The sequence below is a fragment of the Homo sapiens genome, chromosome 3 (assembly GCF_000001405.40).
Source record: "Homo sapiens chromosome 3, GRCh38.p14 Primary Assembly".
NCBI lineage: Eukaryota > Metazoa > Chordata > Mammalia > Primates > Hominidae > Homo > Homo sapiens.
Window position 1 is genome coordinate 132,559,427 of NC_000003.12, and position 14,425 is coordinate 132,573,851.

Consider the following 14,425-nt stretch of genomic DNA (forward strand, 5'->3'; position numbering starts at 1 on the left):
ACTCTATCTCCATTGTGATAGAGAAGGTGACACTGTAATTATGTGTGGAGATGGACAGATGGGGAATGGAGAATGTTCCTTTCTGCCTCCCAGTCATCAGGATCTATATATTAGATAGTCACTGACATGTCCTGCTACAAATTCAGCGAAACCCCATGCTGTATCTACAGCCCAGGAATCCTCAGTGGGACCCCTCAGTGTAAAAATTAACATAATGGAATGAAATGATTATTGTAATAATAAGAGCAACTATTTCTTGGTGTTGAGCTCTATATTAATGTATATCACTTCATTTAGCCTTCAATTACACTGAAAATAAACATAAGCAATTAATGTCAAGGCATCTGTAGATTTTTTACCTCCACGCCTATCAAACGTAGATGATTCTTAAATGACATCTACTCACATGTTAGCCAGAGGGTAATCCTGGGAAACACCAGCACCTCCGCACACCTGGATGGCCCAGTCAACGATTTTGCTGACAGCCCGTGGGGCAGCCACTTTGATCATTGCAATCTATATAAGCAAAATATGAAAAGAATGCTTCTTTCTTAGACTATACACAATGTGGCAAAACTGGGAAATGAAACAAGGAAACTTTCCCACATCCAAGTCACCACTAAAACAGGATCTTTAACAAAAGCCAACAAAGAGATCCTGCTGCAATGCCATATTTCAGTCAATACAGACCCTCTGGAAAGAGACACCTCTTCCAAATCACATTTTATCCATTTATTTCTAACTTGTCTTGTTTCCAAAAGGATTTCAGGCAGCTGATAAATCACACTCATCACCTTAGGGATCATAAAAATAGTCCAAGGGTCTTTGCGCTATTAATCAGGTTTCTTTTAGCAGTTTTATGGGCTTTTAGAATTAAATGATTATGTCTTTATTTCATATAATCCAGAAACATAAGAAAGCAAAGGATGAGAGGTCTCTTTCATGAAACATTTACTATGTAGCAGTATCATGCTGTGCATTTTTTGTTTTGTTATTTGAGACAGGCTCTCACTCTGTCACCCAGAATAGAGTGGAGTGGCTATTCCCAGGTGTGATCATAGCTCACTACTGCTGCCTCAGAATCCTGGGCTCAAGCAATCCCCCTGCCTCAGCCTCCCTGGGACTACAGGTACAAGTTACCATGTCGGCTAATTTTTTTTTTAAGAGACAGGGTCTCACTATGTTGCCCAGGCTGGTCTCGAATCCCTGGCCTCAAACAATTCTCCCACCTCCACTTCCCAAGTAGCTTGGATTACAGGCGAGAGCCACTGTACGTGGCTTCTGCACATTCTATGTACATCATCTTGGTTACTCTTCACAACAACCCTAGGCCTTAGGCAGAAAAGTTAAGTACTTTGCCCGTGATCACAAGGCTAGAAGAAAGTGGCAGAGTGGGTGCAGTTCCAGGGCTGTGTAAAGCCTATGATTTCCCCCATTCCTTGTTGCTGTATCTTAAGAATGCTGAAGATATTCTCCCTCCTGAAAATCATTCCCTAAAGCACTTGCTAGGAGACTAGCAAGTGACAGGCATTTATAATTTATAACCCAAAATCACATGGGGGCTTCCAATATTCTGAGTGCCATCAAGATGCCATGAAAACTGAAATGTCCAACAGGTGAGAGAACTGGAGAAGGCTCAGCAGTTGGTGGTCTGAGGGGAGAAGGTAGCCTCACCTCTTTCTTAGCGCCAGCACTGCCCAGAGTGTCCATGCTGTGAGCAGCTTTCAGAGTCAACAAGCGGATCTTCTCAATGGCAATGCGGCTTTCAGCAATCCAGTGAGCCACAACCTCCTATAGGGGAGGAAAAGGCAGCAAAAGAAGGAGGAGCTAAGCTGGTATCTGATGTCCACGTGTAACACAGTCTTATAGTTTGGTGAAAACACTCTCTAAGCCAGAGATTGTTCACAAGCTTTACTCTATGTATTTTTAAATGGAAGAGTTAATTCATTTGATATACACCAGCCTAACCACATACTTGTGGAATGCTTACAGTTAAAATTGAAATATTTTAGAAAGAAATTTTATTTTCCCAGAAAAATCATTTATTTTGGATATCTTAATGTCTAAGGTAAAGATGGCTGAACTGAGCAACTGCCTTACCGCCAAACCACTCAAAGGCCCTCCTGAATGCTAATTGCCTGCTGTCATGGAAACTTGGCTAAATGTATGGTAGTGAAGCTGCTTACAGGTAAACTAGAAAATTCTCAGCACAATTTCAGTGTGGGGACAGTTCAGCAGCAATTTGCTGTGTTGTTATTGTTATTTATTCATTAAAAATGACCTTTTCTTTAGTAGACAGTTGAATTATAATACATGTATAGATTGGAATAACCACAGTCAAGAACACAGAACAGTTCCATCTCCCACAGAACTCCCTGGTGCTGCCCCTTTTTAGTCACAGGCTCCTCTCACTCCTAACTTCTGGCAACCATTGATAGGTTCTCCATCACTATAGTTTTGCCTTTTCCAGAATGTCATGTAAATAGAATCATATAGCATGTATTGTTTTGAGACCAACTTCTTTCATTCAGTTTAATGCCTTTGAGTTTCATCCAAATTGTTCTGTGTATTGACTGTTCATTCCTTTTTATTGCTGAGTAGTATTCCATTGTAAGTATGTATCAGTTGGTTTATCCATTTGCCTGTTGAAGGACATTTCGGTTGTTGCCAGTTTTTAAATTTTATTTATTTATTTTTTGAGACAGACTGGCTCTGTCGCCCAGGCTGGAGTGCAGTGGCGCCATCTCAGATCACTGCAACCTCCACCTTCTGGGTTCAAGCGATTCTCCTGCCTCAGCCTCTGAGTAGCTGGGACTACAGGCGCCCATCACCATGCCTGGCTAATTTTTGTATTTTTTAGTAGAGACAGGGTTTCACCATATTGGCCAGGCTGGTCTTGAACTCCTGACCTTGTGATCTGCCTGCCTCGGCCTCCCAAAGTGCTGGGATTACAGGCGTGAGCCATCGCGAGATTATTCATAGAGTTTCTGTGTATTTGTATACGGGTTTTTGTGTGGACATGTTTTCATTTTTTAAAGCAGATAGCAGGAGTAGAATTGTTGGGTCAGTGGTAAATGTTTATTAAGAAGCTGACAGTTTTCTAGAGTGGTTGTACATTTTGCATTCCTACTAGCAGTGTATGAGAGTTCCAGTTGCTCCTCAAACCATCAGCACTTAGTATCATATTTTATTTTAGTCATTTTAAGTGTGCAGAGATATCATGGTTTTAATTTGCATTTCTGTAATGGCTACTGCTGTTGATCCCCTTCAATGTACTGATTTGCCATCTCTATACCTCTTTGGTGATATGTCTGTTAAAGTCTTTTGTCCATTTTTTAATTGGGTTGTTTTCTTACTATTTGATTTAGAGAGTCCTTCATATATTCAGGACGCTAGTCATTTGCCACATGAGAAATCTGTCAATTCTTTCTTTTATGAGCCTTGCTTTTGGTGCATGTTTAGGAACATTTTACCTAATCCCAGAAAATGATTTTTCCACTATGTTTTCTTCTAAAAGTTTACAGCTTTACCTTTTACATTTAGATCTATGATCCATTTAGAGTTAAAATTTTGTGTGAGGTGTGTGGTTTAGATCAAGGGTCCCTCTTTTGCCTATCTATGTCCAATTGCTGCAACACCATTTACTGTAAAGATGTAACCTTTTCCATTGAACTGCCTTTGCACCTATGTAAAAAATTAATTGGCCTATATTTCTATGAATCTATTCCTGGACTCTCTCTTCTGCTCCAAAGATCTACATGCCTTTTGCTCACTGATTACTGTAGTTTAGAGTAAGTCTTAAGATTAGGTAGTGTGATTCACTGAGCTTTCTTCTTTTTCAAATTGTTTTGGCTACTTTAGTGTTTTTGTATTTCCATATAAATTTTAGGATCAGTCTGTCTTTATCTACAAAATTGTCCTTTTGGGACTGTGATTGGAACTGCCTTAAGTCTGCAGATCAATTTGAGGATGGTTAACATCTTTAATCTGTTAGTCTTCTAATCTACATATTTACTTAGGTCTCCTTTGATTTATTATATCACTTTTTTCTACTTTTTAGTGCATGTGGATATTGTACGTGTTTTGGTAGAGTAGTACTTAAAAAAAACTGTTGTAAATGGTATTTTAAAACTTTCAGTTCCCCCATTGTTCATTGCTTGTATATAAAAATAAAATTGTTACGTACTGACCTTGTATCCTGTGACTTTGCTAAACTCACTTATTAGTTCTGGGAGGGTTGTTTCGTTTTGTTTGATACGTTCCTTAGGATTTTCTATACAATCACATTGTCATCTACAAGCAGGCCCAGTTTTACTTCTTTTTTCCCCCAACTACATGCACTTTTTTTCTCTTGTTTTACTGCACTGCCTAGGAATTCTTCTATGATCATAAATTGGAATAGTGAGGGTGAACATTCTTGCCTCATTTCCAGTTTTGGGGGAAAAGCATTTAGTCTTTCATCATTAAGTATGATGTTAGATTTTTAAAAATACTCTCTATAAAGTTGAGTAAATTCCTTTGTATTCCCAGTTTGCTGAAAGTTTCTATCATAAACAGATGCTGAATTTTGTCAAATGCCAAAGCATCAATTGATATGATCATGTGATTTTTTTAATGTTCATGCAGTTTTTGCTGTTAGTTTGGCAGATTATAATAATTTATTTTTAATTATCGAGTTATAGACATGAATCAGGCTTGCATTTGTGGGATAAACCCTACTTGATTATGCTGTATGATTATTTTTACATACTGCCAGATTCTATTCGGTAATACTTTGCTGGTGGTTTTTGCATCTATATTGGTCTATGGTTTGTTCTTGTCTGGTTTTGGATTAGGATGATTCTGGCCTCATAAAATGAGTTGACAAGTGTTTCCTCCTTCTCTATTTCTGGAATAGATATGTAAAATTGGTGTTACTTCTTCTCTAACTGTTTAGTAGAATTTACCAGTAATACCATCTGGGCCTGAAGATTTCTTTTTTCAGCAGCTTTTTAACTTTGAATTCAACTTCTAACAATAGTTGTAGAACTATTCAGGTTATCTACTTCATCTTCGGTGAGTTTTGATAGTTCATGGGATTTGAGGAATTGGTCTACTTCATCTAAATTGTTAACTTTATGTGCTTTGTACACATACTAGAGCGTGTGGGTCCCAAGTCCTAGATCTGGAATGGAGGAGACTCTACTTCAGCCTTGGCTCCAGACCCCATTCTCCAATCCATGTTTTCCCAGAGAGCTCTGCATTGTGGCTTACAGACAGCCTACACAGACTAAGAAAATAAGTATGTCTGATATCCTCTGCTTCTAACAAGGATGGAATCGATATATTTTTCTCTATTCCTTCTGTTAAGTACAACTAATAACCCTGGGCATTATCTATAAAACAAACATAAGAAGACTCTGAAAGGTAGAGAAAAGGCAGACTATTTAGGGACTTCAGGTCCAAAAGAATAACCTAGTGGTGTGTTTCCTAGGTTTTCTTTTTGCCTCATATATCTCAGCTGCTGAGGTTCTTCCCGGCAGCTGAAGAATCTAGTAACCTGGAAATGTCAGTGAGCACAGACCAAAACAAAACAAAAACATAAAGCACCCCAACAAAAGTATAATCTCTCTAACCAAAGGATCAGGAAAGATGCAGCCTAGCAAGCCAAAAATCTTTTAGAGAATAACCACTTTACTCCAGCCAAACACCACAGAAAAAACATTGGCCCCCACCACTCCTCACACCAGCAAAGGCAGGATGGGGAGCGTAGGCTTCCACCCTGGCAAGCACTGTAATGAGGTGCCCCAGCTCCCCTGCCAGGAAGGTATCAGACAGTGCCAAGTAAAAACCTGAGGCTTTCCTCCCCACTGGCCAGTAATAAGTCCCCCCAACCCATCTTATGGGTTGTTAGTGCAGTCCAAATGGGATGCCTGGACTTTCATCCCACCTGGCAGTATGAGGGCATCATCCTCTTCAGGTACTGATGGAAGCTGGGAGGGGAACCTGGACTTCTCTCTCTGCCTAGCAGTAATGAGGTGATGCCACTCCTTTCTCTGACAGAATGGTGTCAAAGAAAGCCAAGAAGGTTTAAAAAGGTCCAGAGTCTCACAGTATAAAACTGTTCAGGTTTCAATTTTATAAATCACCCATAATACCAAAAACCTGGAACAATTCAAAATTAATTTTTAAAAAATAAAGAGACACCGTGATATAGTTTGGATGCTTGTCTCCTCCAAATCGCATATTGAAACATGAAGGTGGAACCTAGTGGGAGGGTCATGGGGGAATATCCCTCATAAATGGTTTTATGCCTTCTCTTCAGTAATGAGTTCACATGAGATCTGATTGTTTAAAAGAGTCTGGGATGTCCCCCCTTATCTCTCGTTCCCTCTGTTGCCACGTGATGTGCTGGCTCCCCCTTTACCTTCCACTATGATTGTAAGCTTCCTGAGGTCTCCCCAGAAATAGACATTGGCATTAGGCTTGTACAGCCTGCAGAACCATGGGCCAAACAAAACCTCTTTTCTTTATAAATCACCCAGTCTCAGGTATTCCTTAATAGCACTATAAAATGGACTAACACACCCAGATAACAGAGATGTTAGAATTTCTGACAAAATTTTAAAGCAGCCATGATAAAAATGCTTCAGTGAGCAGTTACAAACACAGCTGAAGCAATTGAAAAAATAGAAAGCCTCAGCAAAGAAATAGAAGATGTAAAGAAAAACCAAATGGGTATTTTATAAGTAAAAAATATAACAGTTCAAATAAAAAGCTCAGTAAATGGGTTCCACAGCAGAACAGAGGGGACAGAGGAAAAAAATCAGTGAACTGGAAGATAGGACAATAGAAACAGCCCACCCTAAACCAAAGAGAGAAAACAAACTCAAAAAAACAAAAAAAAAAAGAACAGCATCATAGGAACATGTGGAATTATAACAAAAGATTTACCATTCACATCACCAGATTCCAGGAAGAAGAGAAAGAGTAAGGCTGAAAAAGTTTGAAGAAACAATGGTTGAAAACATCCCAAATTTGGCAAGAGACCTAAACCTGAAGATTCAAGAAGCTGGGTGAATCCCAAGCAGGATAAATCCTAGAAATCCATACCAACACACATCATGATTAAGTTTCTGAAAAAATAGACATAAAAAAATCTTGAAAGCACCAGAGAAAAATGACACCTTACCTATAGCAGGGATATATATATGTCAGAAGGAAGCAGCACAATATTTTTCTAGTGCTGAAAGAAAAGAAACTTATATCCAGTGGGGATATCTTCCAGGAATAAAGAAGAAATAAGACATTCTTAGAAGAAGCAAAACAGAATTTGTCACTTTTAGACCCTAAAGGAAATGTTAAAGGAAGTTCTCTAAATGGAAAGAAAAAGATAAAAGAAGAAACCTTGGAAAATCAGGAAAGAAGAAAGAACACAATAAGCAAAAATACAGCTAATAAAATTCGTTTGCTTTCTTCTCTAAAATTTTCTAAAGTATATTTGATGGTGGAGGCAAAAATTATAACCCTGATGTTGTTCTAAATGTATTTAGAGAAAATAATTAAGACAATTATATTGTTTATTTATTTAGAGACAGAGTCTCACTCTATCTCCCAGGCTGGAGTGCAGTGGCGTGATCTCAGCTCACTGCAACCTCCGCCTCCTGGGTTTAAGCAATTCTTGTGCCTCAGCCTCCCGAATAGCTGGGGTTACAGGCACACGCCACCATACCCGGCTAATTTTTGTATTTTTAGTAGAAACAGGGTTTCACCATGTTGGCCAGGCTGGTCTCAAACTCCTGACCTCAAATGATCCACCCGCCATGGCCTCCCAAAGTGTGGGATTACAGGTGTGAACTACTGCGCCAGGCCCAAGACAATTATATTATAAATGGGAGAAGTTAAAGGAACTTAAAGGAAGGTAAAATGTCTATACTTGACTCAAACTGGTAAAATGATGACACCAATAGACTTTAATAAGATCTAGAGAGAAAGGTAACTAGATAGATAGATAAACATGTATATATAATACCTAGAACAACCACCAAAACAGCTATACAAAGAGACACTCGAGAAACACTATAAATAAATCAAAATGTAGTTCTAAAAATGTTAAATTAACCCACAGGAATGCAGGAAAAGGAAAACAGAAAAACAATAACCAGAGAGAACAAACAGAAAACAAAAATAAAATATCCGATTTAAGCCCTAACATATCAGTTATTATAAAGACAAAGATTGATAAAGTGGATTAAAAATATGACCAAACTATATGTTATTTAGAAGAAATGTATATCAAATATAATGATATAGGGCCAGGTATGGTGGCATCCACAACAGGACATCTACAAAAATGCTATAGCTAACATTATACCTAACATTCCCCTAAGACAGAGAACAAGATAAGAATGTCAGTTCTCACCTCTCTTATTCAACATAGTATTGGAAGTTCTAGCCAGTGCAATAAGACAAAGGAAGGAGACAAAAAGCATGTATATCATAAAAGAATAAATAAAACTGTTCCTTATTTACAGATGACATGATTATCTATGTAAAATCCCAAGCAATCTACAAAAAACTCCTAGAACTAATAAGTGAGTTCAGCGAGGCCACAGGGTATGAGATAAACATACAACATGGTGAAACCCTGTCTCTACTAAAAATACAAAAAAATTAGCCAGGTGTGGTGGCAGGCACCTGAATCCTAGCTACTTGGGAGGCTGAGGCTGGAGAATCGCTTGAACCCAGGAGGCGGAGACCGCAGTGAGCCAAGATCATGCAATTACACTCCAGCCTGGGCAACAACAGTGAAACTTCATCTCAAAAAAACAAAACAAAAAAACTATACTTCCATATACTAGTAATAGACCCTGAAATTAAAAACACAATACTTATTATAATTGCTCAAAACTGAAATACTTATGTATAGGACTTGTATGCTGAAAACTACACACAGATGAGATGATGTGTGTAGATGATGAAAGAAACCAAGGAAAAGCTAAATAAATGGAGAGATATACCAGGTTCACAGAATAGAAAACTCCACATAGTAAAGATATCAATTTTTCTTAATGTTTGCAGATATAGACAAGATTATTTTTAAATTATATGCAAAGGCAAAGGAACCAGAATAGCTGAAACACTTTTGAAAGAGAAGTCTAAACTGAGAGGAATCAGCCTAGCTTATTTGAAGACTGACTATGTAACCACAGTAATCAAGACTGTGCAGTGTTGGCAGAGACTGACGCATAGATAATTAAGACAGAAGAGACAACCCATATATAAACCCACACAAATAATGTCTGACTGATTTTTGAGAAAGGCACAAAAACAATTCAATGGAGGAAACATAGCTTTTTCAAAAAACGTTGCTGAAGCAATTGGACATCCACAGGCAAAAAAAAAAAAAAAAAAAAAAAAAAGAAGCTTGACCTAAGTTTCATACAAAAGTTAACTCAAAATGTAAGCAGACACAAATGTAAAATGTGAAACTTTTAGTGACACATTATGGGAGAAAATCTTCAGAATATAGGATTCGGCAGAGTTATTAGACTTGACACCAAAAGCATGACCCACATAAGCAAAAATTGACAAATTAGAGTTCATTAAAATTAAACACTTTTGTTCTGTGAACGACCCTGTTAAGAGGATGAAAAGACAAGATACAGAGTAGGAGAAAATATTTACAAACTACATATCTGACAGGATAGTATCTAGAATATATAAAGAACTCTCAAAATTCAAAGTAAAAAAAAAGTGATCTAGGACATGGACACAGGACATGAACCAAAGAGGACATAAGATGGCAAATAAGCACATGAAAAGATGCTCAACATGATTCACCAACAGGGCAACTGAGATTAAAGCCACAATGAGATATCACTACAAACCCATCAGAATGGCTAAAATTAAAAAGTAGTGACAACACCATATGCTGGAGGGGATGTGGAGAAACTGAATCACTCATACACAGTTAGTGAGAATCAAAAATAGAAAAGCTCAGCAGTTTCCAAAAAAAACTAAACATGCAACTACCACATGACACAGTAATTGCACTCGTGGGCATTTATCTCTGAGAAACGAAAAATTATATTTACACAAAAGCCTACACAAATGTTTACAGCAATTTTATTTGCAATAACCCAAACCTGGAAACAACCCAGATGTCCCTCAACAGGTAAAAACAGTTAAACAAACTGTAGTATATCCAGACTAAGGAATACTACTGAACAATAAAAATGAACCAACTACTGATAAACACAACCTAGATAAATCTCCGAGAAATTATGTTGAGTGAAAACAGCCAGTGTCAAATGTTTTCATATTGTATGACTCCATTCTTGGAATGACAAAATTGTAAAATGAAGAACAGATTAGTGGTTGCCAGGAGTTAATGAGAAGGTTGGGGTGGAAGCAAAGTAAATGTGGCTATAAAAGGGCAACATGAAGGATCCTTGTAGTGAATGGAATGCTCTGTATTCTGACTATATTCATGACAACATCCTGGTCCTGATACTATATTCTAGTTTTGCAAGATGTTACCATTGGGGAAACTGGGCAAAGGATTCAAGAGATCTATATGTTATTTCTTATACCTGTATGTGAAACTGTAATTATCTCAAAGTGAAAAGTTGAATTTAAAAATTGGTACTTGCTTCTTGTTTAGCTTAGAAAACATTCTGTGAGTTTTCCCAATTTGTCAGAACTTGTAAGAGAAGCAGGGAGGTAAGTGGAAAAATATGAAAATCAAACCTCACCATAAGTCCCACAGGCAAGCAAACATTCAGAATTCTGCAATGAAACCCAGGAGGCATACAAAACGTGTCCAGCAGGCTCTAAGGAGTTTTTTGGTTTCCAATTCTAAACACAGAATTGAGTTGGTCCAAGTGTTGTGGGTTACTGTTAAGCTAAACACAGAATTGGTTTCCAATTCTAAACACAGAATTGGTGTTTACAATGGAGAAAAATGTTCATCAAGATGAGTTAAACCAGCAGACAATTACGGTGCTTTGATTCGAGCCATATTAACCTTCCATACCTGTGTTTTCCAGATTATATTTACATTTTATTTTATTTTTTTTCTGATGGTAATCATATCTTTTTTATTTACTTTTAACTTTTAAATTCGGGATACATGTGCAAGTTTGTTATATAGATAAACTCGTGCCATGGGGGTTTATTATACAGATTATTTCGTCACTCAGGTATTAATCCTAGTACCCATTAGTTATTTTTCCCGACCCTCTCCCTCCTCCCACCTTCCACCCTCTGGTAGGCTACCATGTCTGTTATTTCCCTTTATGTGTCCATGTGTTCTCATCATTTAGCTCCCACTTATAAGTGACAAAATGTGGTATTTAGTTTTCTGTTCCTGCGTTAGTTGGCTAAGGATAATGACCTCCAGCTCTATCCATGTTCCCACAAAAGAAATCAACTTATTCTTTTTACGGCTGCATAATGTTCCATGGTGTTTCTGTACCACATTTTCTTTATCCAGTCTATCATTGATGAGCATTTAGGTTGATTCCATGTCTTCACTATTATGAATAGTGCTGTACTGAACATACACACGCATGTGTCTTTAACGTAGAATGACTTATATACCTTTGCGTATATATCCAGTAATGGAATTGCTGGGTCAAATGGTATTTCTGTTTTAAGTTCTTTGAGGAATCCTCACACTGTTTTCCACAATGGCTGAACTCCCACCAACAGTGTATAAGCCTTCCTTTTTCTCCACAACCTCACCAGCCCAGCATCTGTTATTTTTTAATAACAGCCATTCTGACTAGTGTTAGATAGTATCTCACTGTGGCTTTTTTTTTATTTGTATTTCTCTAATGATCAGTGATTTTTAGCTTTTTTTCACATGCCTGTTGGCCACATGTCTGTCTTCTTTTCAAAAGAGTCTGTTCATGTCTTTGGCCTACTTTTTAACGGTTTTTTTTTTTTTTTGTAAATTTGTTTAAGTTCCTTATAGATGTTGGATGTTAGACTTTTGTCAGATGCAAATAGTTTGCTAAATTTTCTCCAATTCTGTAGGTTGCCTATTTACTCTGTTGATAGTTTCTTTTGCCGTGCAGAAGCTCGTTAGTTTAATTAGATTGCATTGATCAATTTTTGCTTTTTTTGTAATGGCTTTTGGCATCTTCATCATGAAATCTTTGCCCATTCCTATGTCCAGAATGGCATTGCGTAGGTTGTCTTCCAGGGTTTTTATAGTTTTGGGTTTTACAGTTAAGTCTTTGATCCTCAACAAAATACTGGAAAACAGAATCCAGCAACACATCAAAAGGCTTATCCACCATGATCCAGTAGGCTATATCCTTGGGATGTAAGGTTGGTTCAACATTTGCAAATCAATAAATCTGATTCATCACATAGAACTAAAGACAAAAACCACTTGATCATCTCAATAGATGCAGAAAAGGCTTTCAATAAAATTCAACACCTCTGCTAAACTTTTCTGTTAAAAACTCTCAATAAACTAGGTATTCGAGGAACATACCTCAAAATAATAAGAGCCATCTATGACAAAACCACAGCAAACATCATACTGAATGGGCAAACACTGGAAGCATTCCCCTTGAAAACTGGCACAAGACAAGGATGTCCTCTCTCACCACTCCTATTCAACACAGTATTGGAAGTCCTGGGCAGACCAATCAGGCAAGAGAAATAAATAAAGTGCATCAAAACAGGAAGACAGAAAGTCAAACTATCCCTGTTTGCAGAAGACATTATTCTATATCTAGAAAACCCCAGTCTCAGCCCTAAAGCTTCTTAAGCTGATAAACAACTTCAGCGAAGTCTCAGGATACAAAATCAACAAACAAAAATCACTAGCACTCCCCGAGAGCCAAATCGGGAATGCAATCCCATTCACAGTTGCCACAAAAAGAATAAAATACCTAGGAATAGAGCTAACCAGGGAGGTAAAAAATCTTTACAAGGAGAACTACAAAACAGTGCTCAAAGAAATCAGAGATGACATAAACAAATGGAAAAACATTCCATGCTCATGGATATGAAGAATCAATATCATTAAAATGACTATACTGCCTGGGGCAATTTATAGATTTAATGCTATTCCTATCAAGCTACCAATGACACTCTTCAAAGAACTAGGAAAAACTATTTTAAAATTTATATGGAACCAAGAAAGAGCCCAAATAGCCAAGGCACTCCTAAACAAAAAGAACAAAGCTGGAGGCATAATGTTACTTGACTTCAAACTATACTACAAGGCTACAGTAACCAAAACAGCATGGTACTGTTACAAAAACAGGTACATAGACCAATGTAACAGAGAGCCCAGAAATGGGGCCACATACCTACAACCATCTGATCATTGACAAAGGTGACAAAAACAAGCAATGGAGAAAGGACTCCCTTATTCAATAAATGGTGCTGGGATAACTTGCTAGCCATCTGCAGGGGATTGAAACTGCGCACCTTCCTTACATCTTAGCCATTTTTTTGACGTTTAATTGTCCTTTTATTTTCCTTTCTTTTCTTCTTTATTATTTTAAGTTCCGGGATACAAGTGCAAAATGTGTAGGTTTGTTACATAGGTATACAGGTGCCATGGTGGTTTGCTACACTTATCTACACGTCATCTAGGTTGTAAGCCCTGCATGCATTAGCTATTTGTCCTAATGCTCTCCCTCTCCTTGCCCCCACCCTCCAACTGGCCCCGGTGTGTGTTGTTCCCCTCCCCATGTCCATGTGTTCTTATTGTTCATCTCCCCACTTATGAGTGAGAACATGCACACCTTGGCCATTTTTATGCTTGGTCATGTTTGCCCTTCAACAGGGGATATTTGATTAGAGTTTCCCTAAAGCGGTGATGTTCAACATGATAGCTACTAACCATATGTGGCTAATGAGCATTTGAAACATACCTAGTCTGAACTGAGATGTACTATAAGTATAAAATATGCACCCCATATTGAAGAATAAATATTAAAATATAAAGTATCTCATTAATAATTTTTATATTGATTTCATGTTGAAATAGTATTTTTGATATATTGGGTTAAATAAAATATATTATTAAAATTAATTCCATCTTTTTCTTTTCACTTTTTAAAAATGTTGCTATTAGAACATTTAAAATAACATTTAAGGTTCATAGTATATTTCTTTTGGATGGCACTGCCCTAGAGGTTGAAACATGGCTCTGAATTAATTTCAAACAAGTTGCTGGTGGTGAATAAATATTTTTTGATGGCTGTAAAACAGGATAATTACAACTTTATAACTTCATGAACAGACTTAGAAGACATTTACTTCTCAGCTTTAGAATAAAGGAGGTATTCTCAGTTGGGTCTCTATAGACCCTAGATTTGCTGAAAAGCATTAAATGGGTAGAAACTAGGTGCTCTAGGGAACTGCCAAATATATTTCCTAAGACAGAACTGGGATGGAGAATTTTTTGCGTTAC

The 14,425-nt window shown here is 37.5% G+C and overlaps 1 protein-coding gene and 1 long non-coding RNA gene across 5 annotated transcripts in view; both read right to left on the minus strand.

Annotated features, from left to right (window-relative positions):
• Window positions 1–14,425, minus strand: part of NPHP3-ACAD11 (NPHP3-ACAD11 readthrough (NMD candidate)) — a 164,322-nt gene that overhangs the window by 1,289 nt on the left and 148,608 nt on the right. Inside the window, exons 43-44 of the long non-coding RNA NR_037804.1 lie at window positions 1,675–1,791; window positions 407–516 (exon numbers count right to left, since the gene is read on the minus strand). This is a non-coding gene — a long non-coding RNA (NPHP3-ACAD11 readthrough (NMD candidate)). The remainder of the gene's footprint in view (window positions 1–406; window positions 517–1,674; window positions 1,792–14,425) is intronic.
• Window positions 1–14,425, minus strand: part of ACAD11 (acyl-CoA dehydrogenase family member 11) — a 101,669-nt gene that overhangs the window by 1,286 nt on the left and 85,958 nt on the right. For all 4 annotated transcript variants that reach the window (NR_132428.2, NR_132427.2, NR_132426.2 and 1 more), the window contains 2 exons: window positions 1,675–1,791; window positions 407–516 (listed from right to left, as the gene is read on the minus strand). Coding sequence is in view for 1 of the 4 variants with exons in the window: in NM_032169.5 (NP_115545.3) it covers window positions 407–516; window positions 1,675–1,791 (227 nt within the window). In the remaining 3 variants the exon portion in view is untranslated. The remainder of the gene's footprint in view (window positions 1–406; window positions 517–1,674; window positions 1,792–14,425) is intronic.